This window comes from Homo sapiens, chromosome 22 (assembly GCF_000001405.40).
Source record: "Homo sapiens chromosome 22, GRCh38.p14 Primary Assembly".
NCBI classification, from domain to species: domain Eukaryota; kingdom Metazoa; phylum Chordata; class Mammalia; order Primates; family Hominidae; genus Homo; species Homo sapiens.
This window is the reverse complement of record NC_000022.11, coordinates 40321540-40349341: the sequence shown is the minus strand read 5'-3', so window position 1 is coordinate 40349341 and position 27802 is coordinate 40321540. Positions and strand designations below refer to the sequence as shown.

The 27802-nt window shown below is 44.4% G+C and overlaps 2 protein-coding genes across 12 annotated transcripts in view, besides 6 other annotated features; both read right to left on the bottom strand.

The window, feature by feature from the left end:
• ADSL (adenylosuccinate lyase) overlaps window positions 1-2842 on the bottom strand; it is a 41028-nt gene extending 38186 nt beyond the window's left edge. For 8 of the 9 annotated variants that reach the window (NR_134256.2, NM_001363840.3, NM_000026.4 and 5 more), the window contains exon 1: window positions 2631-2842. Coding sequence is in view for 7 of the 9 variants with exons in the window: in NM_001363840.3 (NP_001350769.1) it covers window positions 2631-2783 (153 nt within the window). In the remaining 2 variants the exon portion in view is untranslated. The remainder of the gene's footprint in view (window positions 1-2630) is intronic. The other variant, NM_001317923.2, reaches the window with a different exon arrangement.
• Window positions 1787-2299: an enhancer, noted in NCBI's record as "H3K27ac hESC enhancer chr22:40743047-40743559 (GRCh37/hg19 assembly coordinates)". NCBI's record gives its function as "activates a minimal SCP1, AML or CMV promoter by ChIP-STARR-seq in naive and primed H9 embryonic stem cells {active_cell/tissue: H9 hESC(naive and primed)}" and the evidence as "EXISTENCE:reporter gene assay evidence [ECO:0000049][PMID:30033119]".
• Window positions 2300-2813: an enhancer, noted in NCBI's record as "H3K27ac hESC enhancer chr22:40742533-40743046 (GRCh37/hg19 assembly coordinates)". NCBI's record gives its function as "activates a minimal SCP1, AML or CMV promoter by ChIP-STARR-seq in naive H9 embryonic stem cells {active_cell/tissue: H9 hESC(naive)}" and the evidence as "EXISTENCE:reporter gene assay evidence [ECO:0000049][PMID:30033119]".
• Window positions 2500-2589: a silencer, noted in NCBI's record as "silent region_13768". NCBI's record gives its function as "represses an Ori minimal core promoter by ATAC-STARR-seq in GM12878 lymphoblastoid cells {active_cell/tissue: GM12878}" and the evidence as "EXISTENCE:reporter gene assay evidence [ECO:0000049][PMID:35858748]".
• Window positions 2814-3327: an enhancer, noted in NCBI's record as "H3K27ac hESC enhancer chr22:40742019-40742532 (GRCh37/hg19 assembly coordinates)". NCBI's record gives its function as "activates a minimal SCP1, AML or CMV promoter by ChIP-STARR-seq in primed H9 embryonic stem cells {active_cell/tissue: H9 hESC(primed)}" and the evidence as "EXISTENCE:reporter gene assay evidence [ECO:0000049][PMID:30033119]".
• Window positions 4970-5142: a silencer, noted in NCBI's record as "fragment chr22:40740204-40740376 (GRCh37/hg19 assembly coordinates)". NCBI's record gives its function as "represses an EF-1alpha promoter that drives an FKBP-Casp9 reporter gene in an ReSE screen in HepG2 liver carcinoma cells {active_cell/tissue: HepG2}" and the evidence as "EXISTENCE:reporter gene assay evidence [ECO:0000049][PMID:32094911]".
• Window positions 8950-9150: a silencer, noted in NCBI's record as "peak4496 fragment used in MPRA reporter construct". NCBI's record gives its function as "represses an SCP1 promoter by STARR-seq MPRAs in K562 erythroleukemia cells {active_cell/tissue: K562}" and the evidence as "EXISTENCE:reporter gene assay evidence [ECO:0000049][PMID:32103011]".
• Window positions 13534-27802, bottom strand: part of TNRC6B (trinucleotide repeat containing adaptor 6B) — a 290975-nt gene continuing 276706 nt past the window's right edge. For all 3 annotated transcript variants that reach the window (NM_001024843.2, NM_001162501.2, NM_015088.3), the window contains one exon: window positions 13534-26488. In NM_001024843.2, coding sequence (NP_001020014.1) covers window positions 26101-26488 — 388 coding nt within the window. In that variant the 3' untranslated portion in view covers window positions 13534-26100. The remainder of the gene's footprint in view (window positions 26489-27802) is intronic.

Genomic DNA, 27802 nt, shown 5'->3' with positions numbered 1-27802 from the left:
TGCTCTTGACTGTTCCTTCTGCCTGAGACCTCTGCTTGGTTCACTCCCTCACACATTCTGCTCTCTGGAATCAAATGTCATCTTCTCAAAGAGGTCTTCCCTGACTTCAATGTAAAACACACTCTGTGTCACTTGGTTTTATTTACAGCACTTATCACCACATGACATTTTTACATATTTATTAACCTGTCATTTCCCTCTAGAATGAATACTTCTTGAGGAGCTTTGTTTTATTTATTGCTTAATCCTTAGTGCTTGGCATGATGGTGGCCATTTTACTTAGATGGATTTACAGAAACCAAATTTAGAAATTCTGTAAGTAGTTTTGCCAGGAAATTATATACAGCAAATGAGTGCAACTGAAAGCAATTCCAGGAGATATTGATGAGAAAATAAACACATTGATGTCTTACATTCATCCATCACTGGAAAAATTAGGCTGCAAAAAATAGCTGGCAGCCCACAGGCAGCTCGGAACTTAGATCCAAGGGCTGAATACAAACAGTGGTGAAACTGATTTAAACCTCACTTGAAACTTGCAAACAGTGACTCCGGGAAGGATCTTGCATCTTAGATCTTTTTTATCCAAGAAAGGAGCTACTAGCCAGATATGGCTATTTAAATTTAAATTGATTAATTAAAAAGTATTGGAAAATATTTATAAGTAAAAAGTCAGGCCAGGTATGGTGGCTCACATCTTTGGGAGGCCAAGGTCGGTGGATCGCTTGAGTCCAGAAGTTCTAGACCGCACTGGAAAACACAGTGAGACCCATCTCTACAAAACAACACAAAAATTTGCCGGGCGTGGTGGCGTGCACCTCTAGTTCCAGCTTGGGAGGCTGAGGTGAGAGGACAGCTTGAGCCCAGGATGCAGAGGTTGTAACGAGCCAAGATTGTGCCACTGCACTCCAGCCTAGGCGACAGAGCCAGACCCAGTCTCAAAACCTAAATATATAAATAAAAGTAAAAAGTCAGTTTCTCAGTCACACTAGCTGCATTTCAAGTACTCGGCAGCCACATGTGGCAGAACTGCCTGGAACCTTTACAGTCACAGAAGACATGACACCTCTGGGCTCCTTCCAAAGCAAAGCAGCAGAGGGCAGCACGGCCATACTGCTTCCTCCCCTCAAGCAATTTATCTTTTCAAAATTCATACTTTCCTTACTACAAATTTTCTGCATTCCTCCTAATCTCTTATTCTCCAAGTTTTTTCTTAGCTACTAAGTTATTATGCAATTTATGGTAATTTTGACACCCTAACAGATAATCCAAAGCCAAAATTGTATGCATTTTAGGCCAACACAAAGAACACATACTCAGACTCTACATTCCAATTCCAGCTTGAAGCCATTTACTAGCTTTGGCGACCCTGGCAAAGTCTTGAGTACCACTACCCTCATCTACAGAATAGAATATCAGATGAAATAGAAAGAGTACACACTAGTACATCACAAACCACAACACATGATTAAGGTCTACTACTATCGCTATCTACGCCAAGAGTTTATTAAGTTGATGCTTCATTCTTCCATCTGTAAAACAGGTACAGTCATAGTATTTCATACCTACTCTTCAGGGTTGTTTGGAGGATTAATAAGCAACCATGTGTAAAGGGTTAAGACCTGGGTCTCAGAAGGCACTATCTGAATGTCTGCTATTATTGTAGTGTATCGCCCAATATTTTGGAGGGCAGTGATAAGGGGAGGGAGGGAATCTAGAATGAAAGTTTCCTGTTTGGAGAGTTCCATGGTACAGGTCCTAGGCCCGAAGTCAAATTGTTTCCATGTTTACTGTGCCGTTTGAGAGGGCATTGCCAACTTGCTCGTTGTGGCACTTTCCTCTGAAACTTGAGGAGAAACATTATCGCTCTCTGGATCACCTTCAGTTTGCTTCAACTCTTCTGGAGCTATTTCTGAAACCGCTGGGCTAAGAAGTTCTCTATGCAGCCCTTAGAAAAGAAATTATAAACCCCGTTTAATAAACCCCTACCCGGAGTCTTCTCCTAAGAGGCAAAGCGGAGGCCAGTGAGGCAGAAACGGTGGCCTAGAAAACAAGCATTCCAGTCCTGTCACTAACTACACAGGCACTGTGGAAAACCAAGGGGCTACGTGCTCAGCTCAGGCTCTGGAGTGCACCCAGGTTCAAATCCCAGTTCCGTTCTTAATAGCTGGATGGGCTAGGGCAAACAACAAGCTGTCCGGGCTTTGTTCTCCCCTGCAATGTGGGAAAAACACCATCAAGCCTGCAAGATCTTCATGGATTACACAAGAAAAGATTAGTGAAATAATGAGCACAACAGTACGAAACAAGCGCTCGGTGTCTGTGGTTAGCAGCGTACTCCTGCGGGGATGGCCAAAATGAATTCCCTGAAACTACAGGCTGAATTTCTCCCAGCCTCCTCCGCGTCTCGAACCCTCTCGGACTGAGAACACGTGAGGCAACAGGTGGCGGCTCCCGGATCTCCTGCCCTTGCTTTCCTGGGGCCGCAGCTCCTCAGGACAGGGAACACCCAGCTGAAAATAGCCGGGCCGCAGCTCCGGGGTGGCTAAGCCCAGCCCGGAACAGAGCCCGGCACGTGCTGGGGCGGGCCCGTCCCTCCCGGCCCAGCCCCTCAGCCCGGGATCCGTTACCTGCTCGGCCTCCGCCAGCCACAGCCACAGCTGCCGCCATGTCCGGAATTTATACCTGTCGCTAAACACGAAGCACATCTCCGGGCTGGCATAGCGGGAGGCAAGAGGTGAGCGGTAGCTGTCGGGCGAACCATGATCGCCTCCAGCCGCCATCCCAACCCTGCGACCCCGCCAGGGTGGACTGGACCAGGGAAGAGCGGAAGCGGAAACCTGGAGGCCAGGGCAGGACGGGGCGGGGCGGGACTTCCTTCACGCGGTCTCGCTCTCTGGGTTCCGGGCGCCCTGGGCGCTGCCGGCTGCGGAGAATCTCCGCTGCTTCTGCCTGAGAATTGACTTGGTTCGCTTCTTTGACCAGAAACATGATTGATGCTTCCTACGTTACTTAGCCGCGCTACACTTTAGTTTTCCTGTCTGAAAAGAGGTACATTAAGACTTCCTTGGCCGGGCGCGGTGGCTCACGCTTGTAATCCCAGCACTGTGGGGGCCCCAGACCGGAGGATCGCTTGAGGCCGACAGATCGAGACCAGCCTGGGCAACACAGGGAGACCCTCCCGTCTCTAAAAAACAAAAAGCAAAAAAAAAAAAAAAAAAAAAGGCCTGCCTTTCGGGTTGTGCGGATTCAGTGTTAGAGCGGTGTCTGGCACACTTGGAAGGCCGTGTGTACGCTTGCTGTTACTCTTATTACTGTCGCCCCACCCACTCCTGCCCGCGGCGCACCGAGCTCGGCTCTAAGGAGAAATGAAGATACCCAAGGGAAATCGGCATTTACTGCGCCCCCAGTGAGCCGGCTGCGGTGGCCTACGCCTGTAATCCCAGCACTTCGGGAGGTCGAGGCAGGCAGATTTCCTGAGCTTAGGAGTTTGAGACCAGCCTGGGCAACACGTGAAACCCTGTCTCTACTAAAATACAAAAAATTAGTCGGGCATGGCGGCCTGTACCTGTAGTCTCAGCTACTTGTGAGGCTGAGACAGGAGAATTTCTTGAACCCGGAAGGCGGAGGTTGCAGTGAGCCAAGATCGCGCCACTGCACTCCAGCCTGGGCGACAGAGCGAGACTCCGTCTCCAAAAAATAAAAGAATTAAATAAATAAATAGAAATAGAAACACTCAAGTGGCCCCCCCCCTTTTTTTTTTTTTTGACAGGGTCTTGCTATGTTGTTCAGTCTGGAGTGCCAGTGGGGTGATCACACAGGAAAGGGTTCATCTGGAGCTGTAAGAGCCAGGTGTCTCAGCTGGGCACGGTGACTCACGCCTATAATCTCAGCACTTTGGAGGCTGAGCTGGGCAGATCGCTTGAGTCCAGGAGTTGGAGACCAGCCTGAGCAACATGATGAAACACTGTCTCTACAAAAAATACAAAAATTAACTGGGTATGGTGGTGTGCACCTGTAGTCCCAGCTACTTGGGAGGCTGAGGTGGGAGAATCACTTGAGCCCAGGATGTTGAGGCTGCAGTAAGCCATGATTTTGCCACTACAGCTTAGGCAACAGTGAGACCCTGTCTCAAAAACAAAACAAACGAAAAGAGCCGGGTGCCTGCACCCTCTCCACCTGCACTTAACTCCTAGCTCTCTGCCTTTTACGTGAGGAATCTAAAGACACTCAAGCCAGGTGTGGTGGCTCACGCCTGTAATCCCAACACTTTGAGAGGCCGAGGCGGGAAGATCGCTTGAGCCCAGTACTATGCTGCTTTGAAATTACTTGTTTCTGAGTGCCTTACTAAAATGAGACCTGTGGAGGAATTCCAATTTTAACTCCCAGTTTATTTGCTGAGAGTTAACTTCACTTTTCCAATAACCATAATATTTCTAGACTATTACAAGTACATGATTAAGGGCCAGGCACGGTGGCTCACACCTGTAATCCCAGCATTTTGGGACGCTGAGGCAGGTGGATCACCTGAGGTCAGGAGTTGGAGACCAGCCTGGCCAACATGGTGAAACCCCATCTCTACTCAAAATACAAAAATTAGCCAGGTCGTGGTGGCAGGTGTCTGTAATCTCAGCTACTTAGGAGGCTGAGGCAGGAGAATCACTTGAACCCAGGAGGTGGAGGTTGCAGTGAGCCGAGATCGTGCCACTGCACTCCAGCCTGGGCAACAAAGTGTGACTCCAACTCAAGAAAAAAAAAAAAAAAGTACATGATTAGATCTCAAGGCTTCAAGATCTTTTCTTTGACAATAACTTCTTTTCCAGTCACCTTCCCATTCCTGCTTTCATTCACAGATTCACTCAAAAACCTATGGAGCACCCATGACAGTGTTCTCCCTCCACACCTCTGGGCTTTCTTAGATGCTGAGTGACCTCCCGGCTTCTTTTTTTTTTTTTTTTTTTTTTTTTTTTGAGACAGAGTCTCGCTCTGTCGCCCAGCCTGGAGTTCAGTGACATGATCTCGGCTCACTGCAAGCTCCCCGTCCCGGGTTCACGCCATTCTCCTGCCTCAGCCTCCCTAGTAGCTGGGACTGCAGGCGCCCACCACCACACCCGGCTAATTTTCTGTATTTTTTTTAGTAGAGATGGGGTTTCACCGTGTTGGCCAGGATGGTCTCGACCTTCTGATCTGCCCTTCTCGGCCTCCCTAAGTGCTGGGATTACAGGCATGAGCCACCGTGCCCGGCCTCTTTTTCTTTTATTTATTTATTTATTTTTTTTTAAGACAGAGTTTCACTCTTGTTGACCAGGCTGGAGTGCAATGGTGTGATCTCTGTTCACCGCAACCTCCACCTCCCGGGTTCAAGCGATTCTCCCTCCTCAGCCTCCTGAGTAGCTGGGATTACAGGCATGCGCCACCACACCTGGCTAATTTTGTTTTTTCGTTGTTTTTTTTTTTTTTTTTTTTTTAGAGACGGGGTTTCTCCATGTTGGTCAGGCTGGTCTTGAACTCCTGACCTCAGGTGATCCACCCACCTTGGCCTCCCAAAGTGCTGGGATTTCAGGCGTGAGCCACCACGCCCGGCTGGATGCTGAGACCTCCTGGCATCTCTTTCAAAACTCTTACCAGAATTCAGTGTTGCTTGCCTTGCTCATTGATGGCAAACTCAGTGGGGCAAGAGATCATGTCTGTGTTCCTGGCACTGAGCCCCAAACCTGGCATAGCATAGGTGCTCAGTAAATGTTTGCTGGATGCATAAATGCTGCCCCAAAGGAGCCTAGCCCAGTAAGAGAAATAACGCCCACAATAGCCATGATACAAGTTAGATTCTGCCACTATACTTCCTCTTCCTCCACACTTCCTCGGTGTCCTCATTCCCTGGCTTGTTCATGCCTCCACCTGAACTCCAGAGTTAGCTGTCAGAATTGACTAGAGTGCCAATTTCAGAATATTCAGGCCATCAGAGAAGCCTGTCAGTCACCTGGGCTCGTCACTGAAGTCTTCTTCCACCTCCCCTCTTGAACTGCAGAGGACTGGTTTTGGGGGTGAGGGCAGTCACAGTTCTGGAAAGATGAAGAATTTGCTCCATCAAACTCCCCACTCTTTGCAGAGTGCTTCCTGGCACTCATTGCTTTGATACACTGTGATAAATTTACTTTTCTCATTTTCTACCCATGCCTCTTGTAAAAGGTGGAAAGATTTATATAATCTGAAGAGAAACCAGAGCACGTACCCATGCCCATTGTAAACTCAGTGATCTCCTCAGTCTTCTAGGCCTCTGTTCTTCCTCTGCTTCACTTTGCTGTTACTTTTCCTCCTCCAAACAAGTTTCTACCTGAGTCTTCTTCCTCATTCAGGAAAAGATCTTGCTTGATCATTTTGTCTTATATCTTTCATCACCCCAGTTCTGTTTCCCTTCTCCTCTGATTTTTTATTTTTCAAGACCTTGTCTCAGGCTGTTTAGTTTTTTAGAAATGGGGTCTGTCACCCAGGCTAGAAGACAGTGGCATGATCATAGCTCACTGCTGCCTTGAACTTCTGTCCACAAGCAATCCTCCCACTTCAGCTTCCCGAGTAGCTAGGACTACAGGCACGTGCCATCGCCTTCGTCTACTTTTGTTTACTTATTAACTTAGAGACGGGGTCTTGTTATGTTGCCCAGTTGGTCTCAAACTTCTGGCCTCAAGTGATCTTCCCACCTCAGCCTCCCGAACGGATGGGATTACAGACATGAGCCACTGCAGTCAGCTCCTCTGAGGGTTTTGTTTTTAAATGCCTAGGTCTCTTCCACTATAGGAACGTCTTCACTTGCCGTGGTAACTCCTTAACATGGAGTCCTCATTTTCTGTCTGCCTTTTCACCGACCATTCCTGGCGCTACCACTTATTAGCTGTGTTACTTGGGGAAGTTACTTATCTTTCAGCACATAAGTCTTCCCACCTATAAAATGTGACTGATGATCCCAGGTGTTAGGTGCAAGAGCAAAAATAGATGCTGGCTCCCTAGCTCACTGTCTGGGACTCCTGTGCTCAACAAATCGTTCCCCTCCCCACTTTATTCTTTAGCACTGAGGTGCAACTTCTGCTCTCTCCCCTTCTTCCAAATCAAACTATTATTAATTACCAATAACCTTCTCTAACAGACCAATCAAAATGTCCTTTTCCATAATATGTACTTGTTTGCCTCATTAAAGGTGTGGGGTATCATGCAGGGAATGGAATAGACAAGGACAGTACTGGTAGCAAAATTTCCCAATGTACATCTTTATGTCATTTTGACTTTTGAATCAAATAGGTTTTTTTTTTTTTTTCTCATTCGTCCCTCCTGGCTGATTTAAGTATTTAGCATTTTTGACAATTTCCTTCCTGTCTGCTTTGAAAACTAAACTGTACTGATTTTACCCCGACTGCTCTTGGTCGTTTTTTTTGTTTTGTTTTGTTTTGAGACAGGGTCTTGCTGTGTTGCTCAGGCTGGAGTGCAGTGCCATGATCACGGCTCACTGCATCCTCAACCTCCTGGGCTCAAGCAATCCTCTTGTCTCAGCCTCCCAGGTACCTGAGACTATAGGCACACACCACCATGCCCAGCTATTTTTGGCAGAGATAGGGTCTTGCTGTGTTGCACAGGCTGGTCTTGAACTCCTGAGCTGAAGTGATCAGCCCACCTCAGCCACCTAAAGTGATGGGATTACAGGCATGAGCCAACATGCCCGGCCTCTTAGTAAACTTTTGAAGAGGCTTCTCCTCTCACTCCTGGAAAAGAAGTAGGGGAGGTTTCCTCAAGATTTGATCCATTTGGGAGGCTGAGGTGGGCGGATGACTTGAGGTCAGGAGTTCAAAACCAGCCTGGCCAACATGGTAAAACTCTGCCTTTACAGAAAATACAAAAAAAAAAAAAAAAAAAAATTAGCTGGGCGTGGTGGCAGGCACCTGTAATCCCAGCTACTCAGGAGGCTGAGGCAGGAACATTGCTTGAACCTGCGAGGTGGAGGTTGCAGTGAGCCGAGATCGCACCACTGCACCCCAGCCTGGGTGACAGAGTGAGACTCTGTCTCAAAAAAAAAAAAAAAAAATTGATTCACCTTTCCTCCCTTGGACACGCCTTGCACATCTGCAAGACTTACCTTCTGAGTCCACAGGTTCTCCAGTTTTGATTCTTGATCTTTAAAGGCCGCTGCGTAGACACTTCCAGCTGGCTTTCACTGTTACCTAAAGCAACATCTCTAAATAGAAATTTTTTTTTGTTTCTTGAGCCCTAATTCAATGAACACGTCTTCTGAGTGTTTTGTTTTTATTTCAAGCTTTTAAAAACCGAATTTCTCGCCCAGGTGCAGTGGCTCACGCCTGTAATCCCAGCACTTTGGGAGGCTGAGGTGGGAGGATCCCGTGAGCCCAGGAGTTTAAGACCATCCTGGGCAAGAAAGTGAGACCCCCATCTCTATAAAAATTTTTTAAATTCATCATTTTTTCTCTGAGACAGCGTCTTGCTCTGTCCCCCAGGCTGGAGTGCAGTGGCACAACCATGGCTCACTGCAGCCTTTGCCTGGGTTTAAGTGATCCTCCCACCTCAGCCTCCCGAGTAGCTGGGCCTACAGGTGCACACCACTACACCTGGCTACTTTTTTAATTTTGTAAAGAGGGTCTCACCATGTTGCCAGACTGGTCTTGAACTCCTGGGTTCAAGCAATCCTCCTGCCTCAGCCTCTTGAAGTGCTAGGATTTTAGGTGTGAGCCACTGCACCAGGCTTCATCAGGTTTATGCTTTGAAATGTATCATCCCTGCAATTACATACAGAATGTATTGGAGATGGGGGTACTGAATATCAAGTGAGAAACCAGCCAGGCTAATGCAGTGAACTGGTTAAGACCTAATGGCGTAGGTGATCTAGCGTGGACAAAGGAAGTGGCCAAAGAAAGGAGGAAAAGAGATGAAGAGGTACAATCAACCCAGCTTGGTGAAGAATTAGTTAAGGAAGGAAAGGAAGCAGCAGAGTCCAAGAATCCTCCTAGGTTTTTAGGTTTTATTGTTGGGTGGATGATGATGTCAGTTACTACAGGGTTGGGGGTGGGGCATGCAGACAGGTCAAATTCTGCTTTGGATTTATTGAGTTTGCAGTATCATTAAGATAAGCTAAGTGCTCCCAGCACTTTGGGAGGCCAAGGCAGGCGAATCATTTGAGGTCAGGGGTTCGAGACCAGCCTGGCCAAAATGGTGAAACCCAGTCTCTACTAACAATTCAAAAAAATTAGCCGGGCATGGTGGCGGGCGCCTGTAATCCCAGCCACTGGGAGGCTGAGGCAGGAGAATCGCTTGAACCCGGGATGCGGAGGTTGCAATGAGCTGAGATCGTGCCACTGCGCTCCAGCCTGGGTGACTGAGTGAGACTCCCGTCTCAAAAAGAAAAAAAAAAAAAAAGATAGCCAAGTGCTTGGAAATGTTGAGTAGACAATTACATATACAGGTCTGGAGCTCAATGGTAAGGGTTGGATATGAATTTAGGAGTCATTCACACATAGATGGTTAAAGCCAGAGGCTTTAGGCCCTGGAGGAGGTGAACCTGCCCTTTTTGGTGCTTATATTCCAATAAGGGAGATGGAAAATGAAGAAATAAGACAATTTTACGGAGTGGTTAAGTTTTATGAAGAAAATATAGCAAGACGAGCATAGAGAGAAACAGGGTGGGTTTGAGAGTTGTGACAACCATTTTTGGATAGGATAATCGGGTAAGGTCTCACATTTGGTCAGAGACTAGGCAAAGATCCAGGGGAAAGAGCATTCCAGGCACAAGAAACAAGTGTTAACAGCCTTGAGGGGGCATGAGCTTGGTGTAACTAAGAAAAAGGAACGGGCTGGCGTGATGGCTCATGACTGTAATCCAGCACTTAGGGGGAGGCCAAAGTGGGAGGATCGCTGGAGGCCAGGAGTTTGAGACCAGCCTAAGCAAAACTGCAAGATCCTGTCTCTACAAAAAAAAAAAAAAAAATTCTTTTTTAATTAGCCGGTCATGGTGGTGCATGCCTGTAGTCCCAGCTACTTGGGAGGCTGGGACAGGAGGATCACTTGAGCCCAGGACTTGGGGGCTGCTATGAGCTATGACTGTGCCACTGCACTCCAGCCTGGACAACAGAGTAAGACCCTAGTATACAGCAAACAAAGGAGGGCCTGGGTTTGAGCACTGATGCAACCCAACATTTCCTGGCTAGGTAAGAGGATGAAAGTATGAGAGATACAGGAGACAGAGGAACGCATCAGAAGACAGAAGGAAATCTAGGATTTGTGGTCTCAACAGGCAAATGGTCATGTCCACTGGACTTAGGGAGATTGTTAGTGACCTTCAAGAAAGCTCTTTTAGTGAAATGATAGGGGTAGAAACCAGATTGGAAGACTGTAAGGGGAAGGGAGAACATTTCTGGAGAGTAAAAATGTGGCAGCAGTTGGTAAGGCAGCAGCTGGAATATGATCTTTATCATGGGATGGACTTGAGCATGTGGAGGGAGCGAGGGCCCCAGTGAACACATGGAGAGAGAATGGGTAACGGAGGTAAAAGTTACCAGAAAGCAAGAAAGGAAGGATCCTGAGCAACGAAGGAACCAGAAAAAGAAGGGAGACAGATCTTTCTCATAGTGTGGAAGCAGGAATTTGAGGGCATTTTTCTGATATCTCTAATTTTATCTGTGTACTAGTAGGCAAAGTCTTCAGTTGAGAGAGAAAGGGGGTTAAGATTTGAAATCAGAAAAGGTCTTAAATTGGGAAGGGTAGCTGCACATGGTGGCTCACTTTTGTAATCCCAGCACTTTGGGAGGCTTAGGCAGGAGGATAAGGCCAGCCTGGGCAACACAGTGAGACCTCATCTCTACAAAAAATTAGTCAGGTGTGGTGGCACACACCTGTAATCCTAGCTACTCCAGGGGTTGAGGCAGGAGGATCACTTGAACCCAGAAGGTCGAGGTTACAGTGAGCTATGATCACACCACTACACTCTAGCGTGGGCAACACAGACCTTGCCTCTAAAAAAACCACATAATTGGGAAAGAAGTGGTAGAGTGAGCTGATTAGAGGAACACAGGTAGCCTGCTGGACAGTGTCAAGGTCTCACTAGGGGGTACGTTACAGTGGATTTACAGGAGTCCTCATATGCCCTGTAGTGACTTTTTTTTCCAGCAATGCTGGGCTGCTTTTGGGTGCTGGGGGACAGAGTTTTTCCAAAGTGGGAATGTGGTCAGACAGGTGTCAAGAAAACAGAGCGGCAGGTAAAGTATGGGTATTAGCAAGCGTGTTACTGAAATTACAGGCTACAGAATCTAAACCGGATTAGGCGGGTATGGTTGATGAAGTCAACATAGCCAGAGGAGTGGGATCCAGTTGGAAGGAGAGGAGGTCATGGTCCAGGATGCTAAAATTAGTGACTCTGGTGGGGAGCAGTTTTGGGTGAGCATGGGTATGTGTGACTGGGGTGGGCTGGAGGAAGGGTTGAGAAGCCCAGGTTATAGGTGGATTTTCCATGTGGACACTAAACTCACCCAAGGTGATGGAAGGACACATCTCTGGTGAGGAAAACTGGGTCAGACGTTAAGGTCTAAACAATCACCTTTAATTCTACAATATATTACTCCTTAGCCATTTACACATTTTTAAAATAATTCAAATTTAAAACAAAGCCTTTGGTAACAAAGGTCTTTACAGTCTCTGCAGTGATCTGTATTCCTCAATAAGAGCACCTACCTGTGACAGGCAGGCCCTCCGTGTTTTTGAACATCTGGTGCGTCTCTTCTTACCCGTTTTTCAAGGTTTACTTCTTTTGTGGTGACAGACGGGATGGCTCTACCACTTTGTACAACAGGCCTTAAGATCTTTTTCTCAGAAATCCAGGGATTTTTCAGCAGACGCAATTGGGTGTCACTTTATTTTTTTAGACGGAGTCTCGCTTTGTTGCCCAGGCTGAAGTGCAATGGTGCGATCTCACCTAACTGCAATCTCTGCCTCCCGGGTTCAAGTGATTCTCCTGTCTCAGGCTCCCAAGTATCTGGGATTACAGGCACGCACCACCACACTCGGCTAATTTTTGTATTTTTAGTGGAGATGGGTTTTCACCATGTTGGCCTGTCTGGTCTCGAACTCCGGACCTCCAGTGATCTGCCCACCTTGGCCTCCCAAAATACTAGGATTACAGGCATGAGCCACTGCGCCCGGCCTTGGTATAACTTTTGAATCCAATCTGGTCTCCTATTTTGGTTTCACCCGTGACAATGAGTTTCAGTTAACAGAATGCATATACATCACATGCTTAGAATAGTGCTCAGCTTATAGTAAGCACTCAATCAATGCAAACTTCTATTGGCTACTTAAATTATTCTGAGCCGGATGGGCACAGTGGCTCATGCCTGTAATCCCAGCACTTTGGGAGGCTGAGGTGAGCGGATCACCTGAGATCAGGAGTTCGAAACCAGCTTGGCCAACATGGTGAAACCCTGTCTCTACTAAAAATACAAAAATTAGCCGGGTGTGGTGGCGCGTGTCTGTAGTCCCAGCTACTCAGGAGGCTGAGGCAGGAGAATCGCTTGAACCCAGAGGCAGAGGTTGTGGTAAGCTGAGATCACGCCACTGCACTCCAGCCTGGGCGACAGAGTGAGACTCCGTCTCAAAAAAACAAAAACAAAAATAAATAAAAATAAAAATAAAAATAAGAAATTCTGAGCCTCAGCTTCCTAATGATCTTTCTCACAGCATTCTGAGAATAAAATCAGATACAAAAGCATCTGGAAATGAGTAAGTATTAGTTCCTGTCCATTCTTCCTCTTTACCATTCTAGAGGTGTTTCACAATTACATATCTCACAAGTCTCTATTTTAGCAGCTAACCATAAATACATCGGAGATGGGGAAAATCTAGCCTAATGGTTGCGGTTATCATGCTCCTCAGCAGTGTTGCGGCACCCGAAGCAGGGCAGACGGGCACTCAGCATGGCATTTTCTGGACAAAGCTAACTCGCTGGTTATCATCCCTGGGCACTGCAGCAGTGGGATGCAGCAGAACTCTAGGCAGGCCTCTTCTCTCTTCTCGTGTTCTCATTCCAAGTGCAAATTATGATTAAACAAGGCAACAGCCAAAGGTAGAAGGAGAACATTAATTTCTCTTAGAGAATTTGAACCCTGCACTGTGGCAGCAGAACTCTAGGCAGGCCTCTTCTCTCTTCTCGTGTTCTCATTCCAAGTGCAAATTATGATTAAACAAGACAACAGCCAAAGGTAGAAGGAGAACATTAATTTCTCTTAGAGAATTTGAACCCTGCACTGTGGCAGACCATGTTCAGCATTGGGGCAGGCGGTGAGCAGCACAAACCAACCAGCCAACCCAACAACCCTAACAAAAACATGACAAGACAAGGTAGACAGAGTTGCGGCCCAAATTCAAATGTTGAATTTCTGACAGCTTTTACATGTGGAGCAGGGAGAGAAGAATAAGAAAAAATATATAAACATTCAACAAATGAGCAAATTAAACTGGCAGAATAAAACAGGAAACCACAATAGTAAATGCTTAGCAGCCAAACACATTTATTAGTCTTTTTTCTTTTTTTTCCAGGAACCCAAAAATATTTTGTAGTTATAATGTAAGCAACTGAGTTGCACATAATACAATCATATCTTTCCAAAATAAAATAAAATAAAAAAACTAAACAAAAACAAAAATAAGCTGTTTAAAAGCCCAAAAAAAACCCTTCAGAAAACTCTTATATATGCATTACATCATCTCTCAGTTTTAATGAAATGACGACGACTTAATTCCTTATTACTCAACCTGTCACAATCCAATAAAACACCACCCTTTAGTTTTTTTTGTTTTTGATACTTTTTTTTTTTTTTTTGAAATCCAGCATGAGAAATACAGTACCTGCTATGGCAAAAAATACACATAAAATGCAACTTTTCAGCTTATTTGTACATTAGTAGAGTTTAACATTTTATTGTTTGTTTTTTTAAGTGAACCAGTGATTTTAAGTACCACTATACTAAAAAGGAAAATAAAATATAGAAAAGGGGGCCCAGCCTGCCATGCAAGTGCACCTCTAAAGTGCCTAGTTTCTGTGTCCATGTAAAACCAGTAATATGAGGAGCAATTTCAACATATGGGAGTTTGATTAAACCTCTATGCTAAAAAAAAAAAAAAAAAAAAAAAAAAAGACAATGCCACATCCTCCCTTTTCTCCCCCAGGCGTCCTTAAATCCCATTATCTACTTCCTCTATTGCCCATCAAAGAGAGAAAAGAAAGCCACCAAAATAATATCGTAAAAGCAACTTCAAGTATAAGAAAAAAAAAACACTTAAAGGTAACTTGCAGAGAGCATCAATATGTGCAGCTGATTAGTCATTTTTACAGGTTTTGTTTCTGCTGACAGTGTTTCAGATGAGAGGATTTTTGCTGTACCTTCCTGTTACCTGTTTGTGTGCAAAGTTGGAAAGCTGCCTTTTAAAAAATCCAGCCTCTTTTTGATGCCCTTTTCTGCACCTTCTGTCTAAAGGGGGCAAAGAGAGACGTGGAGGGAGGAGGAGAGGAGGAAGGAAGCCACAAGTCACAAATAATTAAAATGGTACTTCTCTACCTATCCTCCTCTGCTACGCCCCCCAGGTCCTCCTGCGTCTCTGTGAAGTGACTCCCATTATTCACTGTTTCCTGATTTGGTAGGATGTATTTTACTATGTAAACATAGCCCCCTAGGATTATGGAACCCAAAGCAGCATTTATATCTCCATCTAAATGGAGACAGATAAAATAGTCCAGAAACCTCTCCTCAGGTTGCTTTTGTTGTCTGTTTTTTGGTTACGCAGAACAGGGATGAGGTGGGTGGCGGGGAGGGCATAGAATGTGAAGTTATAAGCACATAGTGGAGAGTTAGGAGTGGGAACAGTTGAGCTGTTGTATCTGCTTTTTATTTTTTTCCTCCCAGAAGGGTTTTTTGTTTTTTTAAAACCTGTTAAAAATGTTCCTGCACCTTAAGTCATACTGAGATTAAGGCCAAGGGTGCAGAATCTTGTGCACGTGTCTCTGTGAGCACATTCACGGTGCATGCACCATTTTTGATGTCTTCTGTGAGATCACTGCATACACTTTGGTCACTGGTGTGTGCAAAGGGTGGTGGTGGGGGGAGTGTCCCAGGAAAGAAGTGCAGAGATCAGCAAAGCCCTTTGGGAGCATTGTACAAGAGATACAAGGGCAGGCAGAACCCATGAGGGATCAGAGACTGATAGAAAAAGGGCCTCCAGATAAACAAAATAAATAAAATTCCAAGGTGAACAGTGCCCAAATCAGAAGGTGGGTGGATAATATGCATGCACTTATAATCAAGCTTCTTCCTTCAAAGGAAGTCGTCACTATACAAGATCAGTGAGATCCAACTGAAAAGGGCTTCTTGACTAGTAAAGGGTTTATCTTAAAGATGGGGGCGAAGGGGGTGTCTGCAAAGAAGCAATTCAAAATGATCCATTCCAACCCTGCTTCATGGGTGCCCAAATCTAGGCAAGCAATAGCTGACAGATCCACATGAGCAGCATTTGTTAAAAGCATTTCCCTCTACTTAATGTCGCTTCGAGCTCATGGAGGGGGTAATGGAAGAGGTGAGGATGCACATGGCTTTCAGGGTGGTTTGCACATCTCCTTACACAAGTTTCCTCCCAAGTAAGAAATCAGTACATTTCCAGAGCATAACAAAGTGACAAGGCTATGGATTCTACAGTGCAAACCAAAATGCCAGGGACTACATCCTTCTGTGAACTACAAAATGATACTGAGTTACTCAAGGGGTGTGTATGTGTGTGTCTGAACCAAGAAAGGTTGAGAGCTCCAGGTATTGTGTGGAGAACATTCTGGAGTCCCTGCAGGGGATGGATCTGCTGGAAGAGAGAAATTCAGACACTTCTTACCCTGGCACTAGATTGCTGGAAGAGATGGCAGCTATTTAAGACAGGGTTTTTGTGTGTGTGTGTGTCTTTTGTTTATTTTATGTTTTTGAGTCGAAGTCTTGCTCTGTTGCCCACACTGGAGTGCAGTGGTGCAATCTCGGCTCACCGCAACCTCCGTCTCCCGGGTTCAAGCAATTCTCCTGCCTTAGCCTCCCGAGCAGCTGGGACCACAGGCGCGCGCCACTGCGTCCGGCTAATTTTTTAGTAGAGACGGGGTTTCACCATGTTGGCCAGGCTGGTCTTAAACTCCTGACCTCAGATGATCTGCCTGCCTCAGCCTCCCAAAGTGCTGGGATTACTGGTGTGAGCCACCGCGCCCAGCCAAGACAGGGTTTACATACTGGTCTGCTGTCACTGTGTGGGAGGCAATGGAGATAACACCCCTCCAACACAAATGCAAACCGGCTCCCCCGACCTCCTCTGCTCTTTCTTCTTAAACATGAAAGAGTAAAGATCTGAAACTTCTGATGGCTTAAAAACAAAAACCAAAAAAATACAAAAGAAGAAAACATATTTTAGGGTTACTTTCACAGCAAAGAAAATGTTTTTTAAAGTTATCCTGCTATTTACATGTTCATATTTTAAAAAGGATAATCCACTGATGTCAGAAAGGAGAGAGGAGTTAAGGGTTTACATTGCAGGGGGAAATGTACCTCGAGGTATTATTTTGTGTGAGACAGTTGAAACGTCAGGATTTTATTTTTTTGTTGTTTTTTTTGTTTAAAGGCAATCTAACAGATTGGAACCCTGATAAGATCATGCCTGTGCAGCCCTGCACAGGCACGAGGAGACTGTGATCAAGTCTGTTACTCGTTACAGTACTGTGAACGTCAACAAGAAGAATTGCTGCATGGAAAACACTGAATATAGGCAGAACAATCTCTCGCTTACGATACTGTGTGTTGCAAATAATGCCTAGACCAGAGCAATGCAGGCGCTATGATTCATCACAGGCAAGATCAACAAAGGAATTGTTAGGACAAAGAAGAGGCTGCATGCAGACCTCCCCTGTCAAAACACCTCGCAGCTCATTGGCTTCATACAGCCTGCCAAATGCAAGGGAAGCAGAGAGAGGGATGGTGGGTAGGAAGAGAAAACTTTTTTGCCTGACAAGCAACAGCCCTCTTCCCCACAAAGCAGGACAGTTCCTTATAACTAAGAGTAAGTTCACTTAAACATGATTAAAAAGGAAGAAAGAAATATTAAAAAGGAGAGAGGAGGCGGAGTTTTTCAAAATCGACCTAAAGATTAACTTTCAGGTCAGCACGAGTGAAGCGTGGTTTCCTGAGCTTGAAGGGCTCTGAATTCAGGAAAGGATGAGTACTTTTTCCAGAGAACACTGGAGCCTGTGGAGTTCCATTGCTGCACTGGATTAACACTGCACGGCTAGGATCAAGAATCCTGAACCACATTGGTTGACAGGAACTGCAGGCCCCCTGGAATTTACCTGGCCATCAGACCTGCCAGCAACAGTGGCAAGAGGACTCAGAGGTCTCTATCTCACTGTGCTGACCTTACCACATTCGTCTCTCACTCCCCTTCCCCTCCAGGACACGGGGACACCATGGACACAGAAACTGAAGAACAAGGATGCAACGCTACTCCCTTCCCCTTTCTGCCCTCTCCTCCCCACCCCCTTTGCAGAATGCATAGTTACAATTCACCTTACAACATAAAGAAGCGACGATGACCACATGTGGGACTTTTTTTTTTGAAAAAAAAAAAAAAAAAAAAAAAAATCCAACAACCTCTTCTTAAATTCAGTATCAAAATTCACATTTGCATAATAATACATTTCAAGGCCATGAGAGAGGAATGAGAGCAAAGCGCAGAAGCAGCATCTCTCCTCCCTGTGTCTTCCTGAATGAAGCTGAAGGAATCGAGTGGGAGGGACTGTTCTCCTCTTTGGGGGAGCTCTGAGGAATCATGGAAATGGCCCTTAGCATTTGCTTGATATTTCTTTAGAAGATAGGAGTGGGGAGAAGAGGTGAAATTGTTTAAAACATAAAAACAAATAAAGACACTGCAGATTTCTGTGTTCAACTATAATAGCTCTGAAGAAATAAAATATGATTTCAGATTTTTCTCTTTTCTTTCTCAAACACTTCAATCTTAACTCTTCAAAACCCCTTTTCCTTGTGTGTAATACCCTGTTTGCATCAACAGCAACGTGATGTGACGCCCATGTGGGAATGTAATGGCCGCCTCAGGACACAGACTCAAAGGGTAAAAGCGTGCTGCCCGCTCTGCACACGGCAGAAGCTGGAAAATGCCTTGTTTACATGCATGAATGTGTCACAAGTATCACCATATTCCAATTCTCCAGTGCTTACAGAAAAACAAAAAACAAAACAGCCAAAGCCACATGAGCACAAACATACAGACGGAGAAAACTAGGGAATGCAGATGTGTAAACCTGCGCTCTTGGACTAACGTGGGTCTGCGTCGCCTGGGTACCTTCCCCTGTCTCCTCTCCCAAGTCCCAGAATCTCTTCCACTCAACTCTACACTGTGCAATATTGATGCTAATGAAATCTCAACAGCTGCTCCTGGGACTTCCAGGAGGAACTTTGACTTCCCTAATGACTAAAGCTGACCGTCTGTTTGTTTGTATCCAACGGATAGCTTCTTCCTAGAACGGACGGTCTCTGTACTCACAAAGGCACATTCAGAAATACTATACTTAAGTAATTCCTTAGACAAAATTTAAAAAGGGCGGTGGATGATGTTTTAAACACATTTATTCCAACTTATCCCAAAATTTCTGGCAAGAAGTGTCATGCTAAAATGCATCACTTGGTGAGAAACTATACTACCTTTAAAAGGTATGTAACTTCTTAAAGGGTTCCAAAGGTTTTTATTTTGTTTTGCCTAAATACCCACCTTTCCCATTTTTGGCGAACACACATAGGATGTACTGTCCTCCTCTCTGTAAAGCTCTTCTGTAGGGCTAGTCCTGGCAATAAGGCCACTCCACTTTGCCTCCAGTCAACTTTTACAGCCACCCCTCTGGGAGTTGTACACACCTTTCAGTAGCCGAAGGGGAAGGAACGCCAGATTCCGGAAGGCGGGAGAGAAAGCAAAGCACTTCCTTTCACAGCTCTGCTACAACAGCATCATAAGCCACCTTGACAACTTTCTTTTGCAGCTTACTGTGAGCAGTAAAGAGGAATTTCCCTTTTTGAAAAAAAAGAAAAAAACAAAAACCATCCCAACTTGTTGATATTGGCTAGATATGGGTCAATTATAATTGGGAATTTATTTCCAAAGCAATGATTTACAGTTTAAAAATGAAGTTGAGGCACAAAGTGCTTTAAACGGACACTATTTATTCTTTATTTAAAACAGAGTACTTCTTGCCTATTTATCTGATCTTTCCCCTCCCATGAACAAGATAAGCATTTGTCACAGTGAAGAACTGAAGACTGAGCTTTTTGCAAAGACCCTTTGGCCAAGGTAGTACCATTTTTCCTGGCCATGTACAGTTTCTTGTTAAAAACAAATTCAGGTATATAGCTAACTGAAAAGGGAACGATTTAAATTTGGTGAGGCAAACACTGGCAGTTACTGCAACTTTCGTTACTTTTTTGGGTGGCGGTAGGAGGTTATGACAAGAGACTGACAGCTTAAAAACTACTCAAATATTAGGGGTATGCCACAATCACTCGGGATCTGGTCCCGGTGGCCACACGCATGCGGGCAGTGTGGGTGCTGAGCTGCTGGAGGAGTAGCTCTCCACTCCCTGACCTGTGTCCCCCTTTACCACCTCGTAGGTTCATGGCCTCTTTCTTCAGAGGCATGGGGTGGGGAGGTATGGTGAGCAGGTTAGGGAGGGTCGATGTTGAATTTTTATTGTTATTACTATGTTCACAGATTCTTGGAGCTGATAATTATTTCAAATCTAAAGAATGTGATATTACCACCCCCTTTGTCAAACTTAAGAAAAAAAAAACACTATCACTGACAAATAGGGACCATTTCTGAAAATACACACACCTTTGGCGCTGGCCACAAACCCACAGACTGTTATCACAGGGTCTGCACTAACTCTGGAAATCTAGATAATATTCTGTTTTCTTACAGAATGACAATGTCCTCAATAGCATTATGTGTATCTGTGTGTTTCTTGACTGTATGGACTCCCTGTACTTGCAGATAAAGAAGTAAATGTAGTGCGCAGCAGGGTTTGTGAGTTCCCTATTTTCTTAACGACCATGAGGTCTGAAGACTGACAATTCATTGTATACACACAGACCAGAATATTTTCATCCGCATCATCACGCGGCTTTAGTTGTCCACTCACAGGAGGAAAAACACAATTAAAGAACAAGGCTTTTTTTTGTTTTGTTTTTGTTTTTTTTTTTTGCAGTAACACTAAGAAGTATAGTTAATGCATACACATGAAGTGTGACAAAACTTGGCAAAAACACTGCAGAGGAAAGTTTGATTTTTTTTAACCAGCGAAAAATTTATCTCACTTCTAAAGATCTTATAGATACTTAAAAACAAAAATCTCAAATCTAAAACAATAACCGATAAAGCTTTAAATGTTGAATTTTAACTCTGAGGATGGGGAAAAAATGGATCTTTTCTACATAAAGACTCAATTGTTCCCTAATCTTAGAGATGGCTATTAGAGCCAAGTCTGCTGAAAACATCCTGTTTACTCTGCAGAGAAAAACAGGCTTGGCGTAAGCATTTTGCTCAGCATGCAGACATTTTCATTCTGTTTTAGAGAAGAGTCAAGATGGCAGAATATAAAAAATGAAATTAAAAAGTACACAGCATCTGAGGTCAAAATGGAATCTGGCTGTTAACCTTACAAAAATCACCCCCTCACCCAAAAAAAAAAGTGGTAAAAATGAGTGAATAGTTGCAAAAAGTTAACAGCCTATGAGCTTCTAGTTTCTGCGAGATATATGTGTTAATAAAGGTGCTTCCAAATTCTCAGGCAGGAGTTTTATCTTTTCCTTTCTTTTTCCTCTTGCATACCTTCTATACCATATTCAACCCACAGGAGTTTGGAAGAACCGATTGCTAACTTATGCTACATTCATGTCAGAAGAGGTGGGAAAATTCTTACAACAGGAGCCATACTCATAGGAAATCAAGTTGCTATAAATAAAACTAACTAGCAATAAATGGATAAGTGATTTATTGGGGGGACACTGATTAAATAATTTGGTTTGGAACCTTAACTTGCAACACTGCTAAGTTAACTCCTATGAATGTTGTAAATGAAACACGTCCAGGGTTGGGGACTGAGGGATCAGAGATGTTACATGAGCCATCCATTTCTTCACAGTGTCTCAGAGATCTGAACTCTTTTCCACACTTAAAGTTAGGTCATGATACTGGATCTAATTGACAGCAGAGGTCCTCTGTCTGGTGTGAGACACCCCTTTCTCTATTAGTGCTTCTTTTCTTTTGGCTACTCGTGTGGTAGGTAGAAACCAAGTTTGTGATGTTCAGGAGATGTACACACCTCTAAGCCACTAGTAATCAAGTGTTTTAAAAAGTAGTTAAAAAAAAAAAAGGGAAAGCTCAAATTAACATAATCAAAATGTTTTTAAAATAAATCTATGTAATGAGAGGTGACCAGCAAGCCTGTATCTATGCCAGAGTGTGGTAGAAGAGAAGAAGGCACTCTCACTGAATTTTATAAGTATACTGAAGTCATCTAACCTCTTAGTAGACATGGCTCTTGCCAAAGAATACCACGGAAAGAGCTCTTCTCTTCCATGACATCCTCACCATATCCTGTTCTTAGGTCACTGCCAACCAATAAAGCAAAGCTCCCAGCAAGTTGACAAAAAGAAGGGGGAGGTCTGGGGGAAAAGGGGAGGAGACGAAGGACAAGAGCAGAACAACAGGAACCCCTTCTATTTGCCCAAGACAAAGAGACTTTCCAAATCACTGCAGTTGTCACAATTACACACCTGGAGGAATCAATGCACAGTAATGGAGGGCACACGACACAGGAAGGAACTTGGCATTCTACATTACTGAGACATAAGCATATTAACTTGCTTGACGTTTGTTTATTTATTTTAAATTCAGCCCACTGCCTTTGGGGCCTGTCCAGAACCACTCCAATTTCCTTTATGGGTGAGTATCTTACATCTGTGGAGTGACTGGACCACACACACACACATGTGCGTCCCCCTTGCTCAGGATGTCTGGGTGTATGTACGAAGGCACTAAAGCGGTTTTAGAGAAATTGCAGGCAGCAACCCCACCCACTCCCTTTACCTGTCGAGCTGGAGTTTCCTTCCCACTGGGAAGCTTAATGTTTAAAAGAAGCTGTGGTCATGCTTGGGAATTCTGACCCCTGGCCCCAGGAGGGAATACAAAAGAATTCAACATCACCAAAAACTGAAAGGAAACACTCCACATCTCCGGCTAAGGGATGGGGATAATTAAGCAGCAGATCTTCAAAACAGCAATTAAAACGAGCACAACAGTAGCTGGGAGCTAAAAAAGTAAAATCACTTGTTCCTTATTAGATTCTTCTATATTTTCTCCTCCTCCCAAAACAAACGGAGGTAAGACAGACATTCTTCATTAATAGGACAGTCCATAGATAATTTTCCTCTAGTAATGCCTATATTTAAAATTTGTTCCAAAAATTATTAACCTATATTTCCTAACTCTTTACATAGATTCTCAGCAATCCAACTGTACTATTTTACAGATTACTTTTTTTTTTAAGCTGTTGTTTCTTCCTTCCTTCCTTTCTTTTGTTGCTGGGGTTGTGGGGACAAGGAGAAGGGTTCCTTTAAAAAAATAAAAATTACTAGGGGAGATTTCAGTTCAGTCTCAAATGGAAAGGAACAAAGTGATGGCATTCTCATCTATATACACCAAACACTCTCCCATTAAACTACACACAATTTCAAAAGAATCCATGATCGAGCTCTTACAAAGCTTAATCCTTCTCCCATATTTTTAAGATAATGAATTTACCTGTTGCTGCTAAATTGATAATTTTTAAAAAATATTTCTATGTGTTTTAAAATGTGTGATCCCCAGTATGACAATAATGTTTGGAGACTTTTCTTTTTACATTTTTTTAAGTAAAAATTGTTTAAACTTTCTGAAGTTTCAGGAACTTGTAAAAGTTTATTAACAGGAAAGAAACAGCCATCTCTCTAGGATAAGATATGGTTAAATAAACCATCTTCAAAAAACTGGCTTCCTACCCTAGAATTCCTGAGAATGCTTGCAAATTTTAAAGCAGGAAAACAAATGTTAAAAACAGAAACAAAAAACACTGTTAAATGCTCCCAGAGTTAGTCTTCATCTAAAATATATATTTATATGTATATATATACGCACTTTTTGGTCTTTTTTTTTTAAAGTTTTTAGTTTTTTTCCCTTTAAGCTTATGATGGAAGAACATTTTAGCTTCTCATGTTTATTTTTACATATTTCAAATCCCTCATTATGTCTTGTAAACAAGAGGGGCTCTAGCACCCGGCTTTCACCGTAGTATCGTAAGGAACTCAACTAACCCATAGTGCAGGTCAAGGAACCAACAGGCAGGAGGAGAGGAGGGTGGGGCAGGACACAGCAGTGAACCAAGAGCGGCAGTGGACAGGGTCGCCACTGGCTCGCAGGAGCCTTGGGATATGCTCCTGGCCCAGGGACACTAAGATTTAACCTTCTCTAGATGTCTGAATACAAGCTGCTCTTCACCTGGTGGTCACCGCACGACAGCACTTTGCTCCACACAGAGAGCGGTCAGTGGGGGCTGCTGGAAGCAGAGCTTTTGCATGGGGAACAGTGGTGGAAGGGGCACGGTGGTGATTCAAATTGCAGAGCAGGAAGAGGGCATGCTCAAGGCACCCAGCGGGGCCACGTCAATGCTGCAGATGCCAAGTGTGACCACCTACCCACAGAGGGCTCATGCAGGCTTGTATATGTGAACACTCACTTGAGTCATGCCTGTCAATCTCTTTTGAGGCTAGGTTTATAATCAACAGGGTAAGCCAGAAGGGCTACAGAATTTCCCATTCTTTGTCTCACAAAACCACTGAAATGCAAATAACTTGTTTTAGGCTTTTCCTATACACACCCACCCACCCACCTACACACAGACACAAGCTAAAAAGTCAAATACATTAGGCATTGTTGTATTGTATCCTTCACTGAAGACGCTAAAGAAAGAAAAACTCCCTTGTCCTCAATAGCAGCAAGTTACAGAGGACAGTAGAGGTCTGCTCCCACCAAGGGTTGGAATGGGCAGGTATTTGCTGGTACAAAATGTCGGCACTTTATGTTAAACAGCATAATGCAGACTGGGATGTCCACACAAGTGCTAGCACGTCACCGGCATCCATCCCCCCACCCTATCTGGTTTTTCGCCCCCTTCAGGTCTGCTATAATTCTCTTCACAATAAGCAGTTTGATACATTTTGATTCCGACATAAGTACATACATGTTGGTGATAACTGTAGATTAAACGTTGACCCCTGTTCGGCCCAGAGTACTACTACATTGATGCTTAAAAAAAAAAAAAAGTATTTAAATACCGAAATTAAAAAAGCAAAATTACAAGGTGGGGGGAAGAGGTCAAAAATCAAAAAAAGGTGCAATACTTAAAAGTCTTCGCTAAGTTATACCTGCCTAAGCAAAACCACATACACAGGAAATACACAACACAGAGAAACAAAAGGAAACGCTTGAAGTACACACTGGTTTAAGAACATTCGTTAAGTAAACGTTTCTGTCAGTGATGGCCTGGTGCTGTAACGCGCCACGGCCTGGCACAGGTAACGCTCGGCGAGAAAGGAGCAGAGGGAGTAGCTGCAGATGCTTTCAGGAGGCTGCTCACCACTTATTCTTTTCTGTTTTCATAAAATGAAAAAGAGAACCAACCAACAGAAATATGTAACTCAACTTCACCTAATTTTTTGAAGAATTTCTCAAACCTGATCATAAGGAAAGAGGGAACAAAGTTTCTCTGTTTTTGAGACATCGCATCATCAAAAGTTATCTTCCGTTCCCATTTCAAACTAACGAAAAGGCCTGCATGAAACTTAACAGATACTCAGATGTGCCTGGTGGCCATTCACTTAAAAAAAAAAAAAAACAGAAATAAACACACCGTTGCTCCAAGAGGTACCTCCTGCTCTAGTTTTTTGGACTTGGCAGTGCTCCACTCTACTGCTAGGTCAAAAGAACAGCCAGAGAAACCCCACATTCAGGCTAAGTTGCAAATGGAAAGGAGCTCCCTGCTTTCATCATTAAAAAGCACTCTGTTCATCTTAATGCAGCCCAATGGAGTTGCTTTAGTAGCAGTGGCTCTCCGGGCCTGTGTGTTCTCATAGTTAAAAAAATAAAATAAAAAGCAGATGGGCCGGCCAGCCAGCCTGCAGACTGTCAGCGATGCAGCTTTCTGAGAAGTCAGGGTGGGGCAGGGGAGAAGGGAAGAACACAGGCACACACACAGAGACAGAGAAGGATGCACGCGAATGCACATGAACACACGTGCACACACACACCAGAACGAGCATGCCTGGGCAGTTACATGTGCCAGAACACACTGGTATTTATCAACCAGCCAATCACAAATTTTTTCCTTTTTTTTTTTTTTAGGTTTTTTGTGTTTTTGTTTTTAAAGTGAGGCTCCGTCAAGTCTTCCCTCCCCCCTCCCCCAACAATTCTTTTGAATTTCCCTCCCTCCCAAACATGGTAGACCTAAGGACGGAAACACACCCAGTGCAAACAAAGTTAAAAAGCTATTTTTTTTCAGTATATATGTTTCTTAGCAACAACTTCCATATAACATGAAAAAAGTGAAAAACTAGAAACTAATTTTTTTAATTTTTTTGTGTTTAAATTTAAATGGTATGTGTACTTGCTTCACATTGTCTTTCTAGGTTGGCGTTCATGATTCAAGTATTTCAAGAGTGATATGTTCTCTTTTTGGATTCATATTCCAAACGAAAAAACTGAAGTTATAAGGGAGGCAACTATGTGCTCAGACAGTCTGTCAATGACCCACCTTTTTTTCTCTCCGTTTTCTTTTTTCCTTTTAAAAATGTATTTATTGCAAGTTGAAAAAAAAAACGAAAAGGTCAAGTTAGTGCTGCTGCTGTTCCAAAAAAGGTCACGAGGTCAGAGTTGAAAGTTCTAAGTTCAGATTGAATCCGACCCTCCTCCCAGAAGGTCACCAGGTAGTAAAGGAGCAGGGCTGCCCATCCTATGGGGATCTTCCACCGTTGGGACTCCCCATAAGCTAGAAGAATAGTTTGGGGGCCCCCACAATGAAGCGCCAGCAAGATCGGCCCCGCTGCTGCCACCAGCGCTGCTGCTCCACTGCCCGAGCCCAGTGGACCCACCAAAAAGATTCAGAGCAGGTCCCACGGGATCTGACTGGTTCTGGCCGGTCTCCAGCGACTGCCACCCCGCAGCTGGCGCACTTGGGGTTGCTGCAGGTGTAGGGGGCTGAGCTTGTGCCAGAAAGCGGCTGACTTCATCATCAGTGGCAAACTCAGCAAGGATGGTAGTGTTTCCCAACACACACCTGGAAGAAGGGAGGGAAAGAGAGCTATGGATCTCAGGAAAATCCTAAAGCATACGGAGGGAGCGACTGCAGTCCTTGACATTCAATGTGCAGTCCTTTGACTAGAAGCTGCCATATCCATGAACGCTTTTTAGAATGCAAAGTCCAAGCTCCACCCAAGACCTCTGGGTCCAGAACTTGTATTTCAACCAGACCGCCAGGTAATTAAGAAGTAATGATGTAAACCAACAAGGCATCACCAAAACTCAGGATAACCAAGGACTACTAGAGAATACTATATTCTGATATTTCTTGGTGTATGGAATTTATATATTCTAGACAACTTAGCTATCAAGAAAAACGTGTGTGTCTGTGGGGGGCTAAGAGGGATGACTGAACTGGCAGAGGACTCTGATACTGTAATGGTAGATACCCGTCATTATACATTTGTCCAAAACCATATACTGTACAAGGCCGAGTGAACTCTAATGTAAACTACAGACTTTTGGTGATAAGGAGGGGTTCAGCAATCTTGACAAATGCACCACTCTGGTGGAGGATGTTGATAATAGTGGAGGCTATTCATGTGTGGCAGCAGGAGATATGACAGAAATCTTTGTATCTTCCTCTCGATTTGGCTGTGATCCTAAAACTGCTCTAAAACAAAATAAATAAAGCCTTAGATAAAAAGGAAAGAAAAATATGGTCTCTTTCTTTCCCCATGTGAGTTATGAGGCAAGAGACCATACCCAAAGCATCGAAGCAACCTGGCTTCAGTCCCCGGAAGTGCTGCTCTTTCTCAGGGGCTCCTCGCTGCCTGAGCCCCCTCATCCCTGGCTTGCAGTGTGTCTGGCTTTCTGTCATGGCATCTGCAGCCAAGGGCAGTCAGGTCTTCTCCGTCCACCAGTTTGACAGTGGCAGGGAAGGGGATGGGCAAAGTCTGATCTAGCGCCACCTAATTTAAGCAAAGACCCTGCTACCCCCCAAGACCACAATATTTCATCATCTGCAAAGAGGCTGGAGTAAGCAGCTAGATTCTATTATGAAAAACAATGGCAATTCTATTAGCTGTGTGTTTTTTTTCTTTTTTGAGATGGAATCTTGCTCTGTCACCAGGCTGGAGGGCAGTGGCATGATCTCAGCTCACTGCAACCTCTGCTTCCCAGGTTCAAGCGATTCCCCTGCCTCAACCTTCCCAGTAGCTGGGACTACAGGCATGCGCCCCCACGCCTGGCTGATTTTTTGTGTTTTAGTAGAGACAGGGTTTTACCATGTTGGCCAAGATGGTCTCCATCTCCTGACCTTGTGATCTGCCCGCCTTGGCCTCCCAAAGTG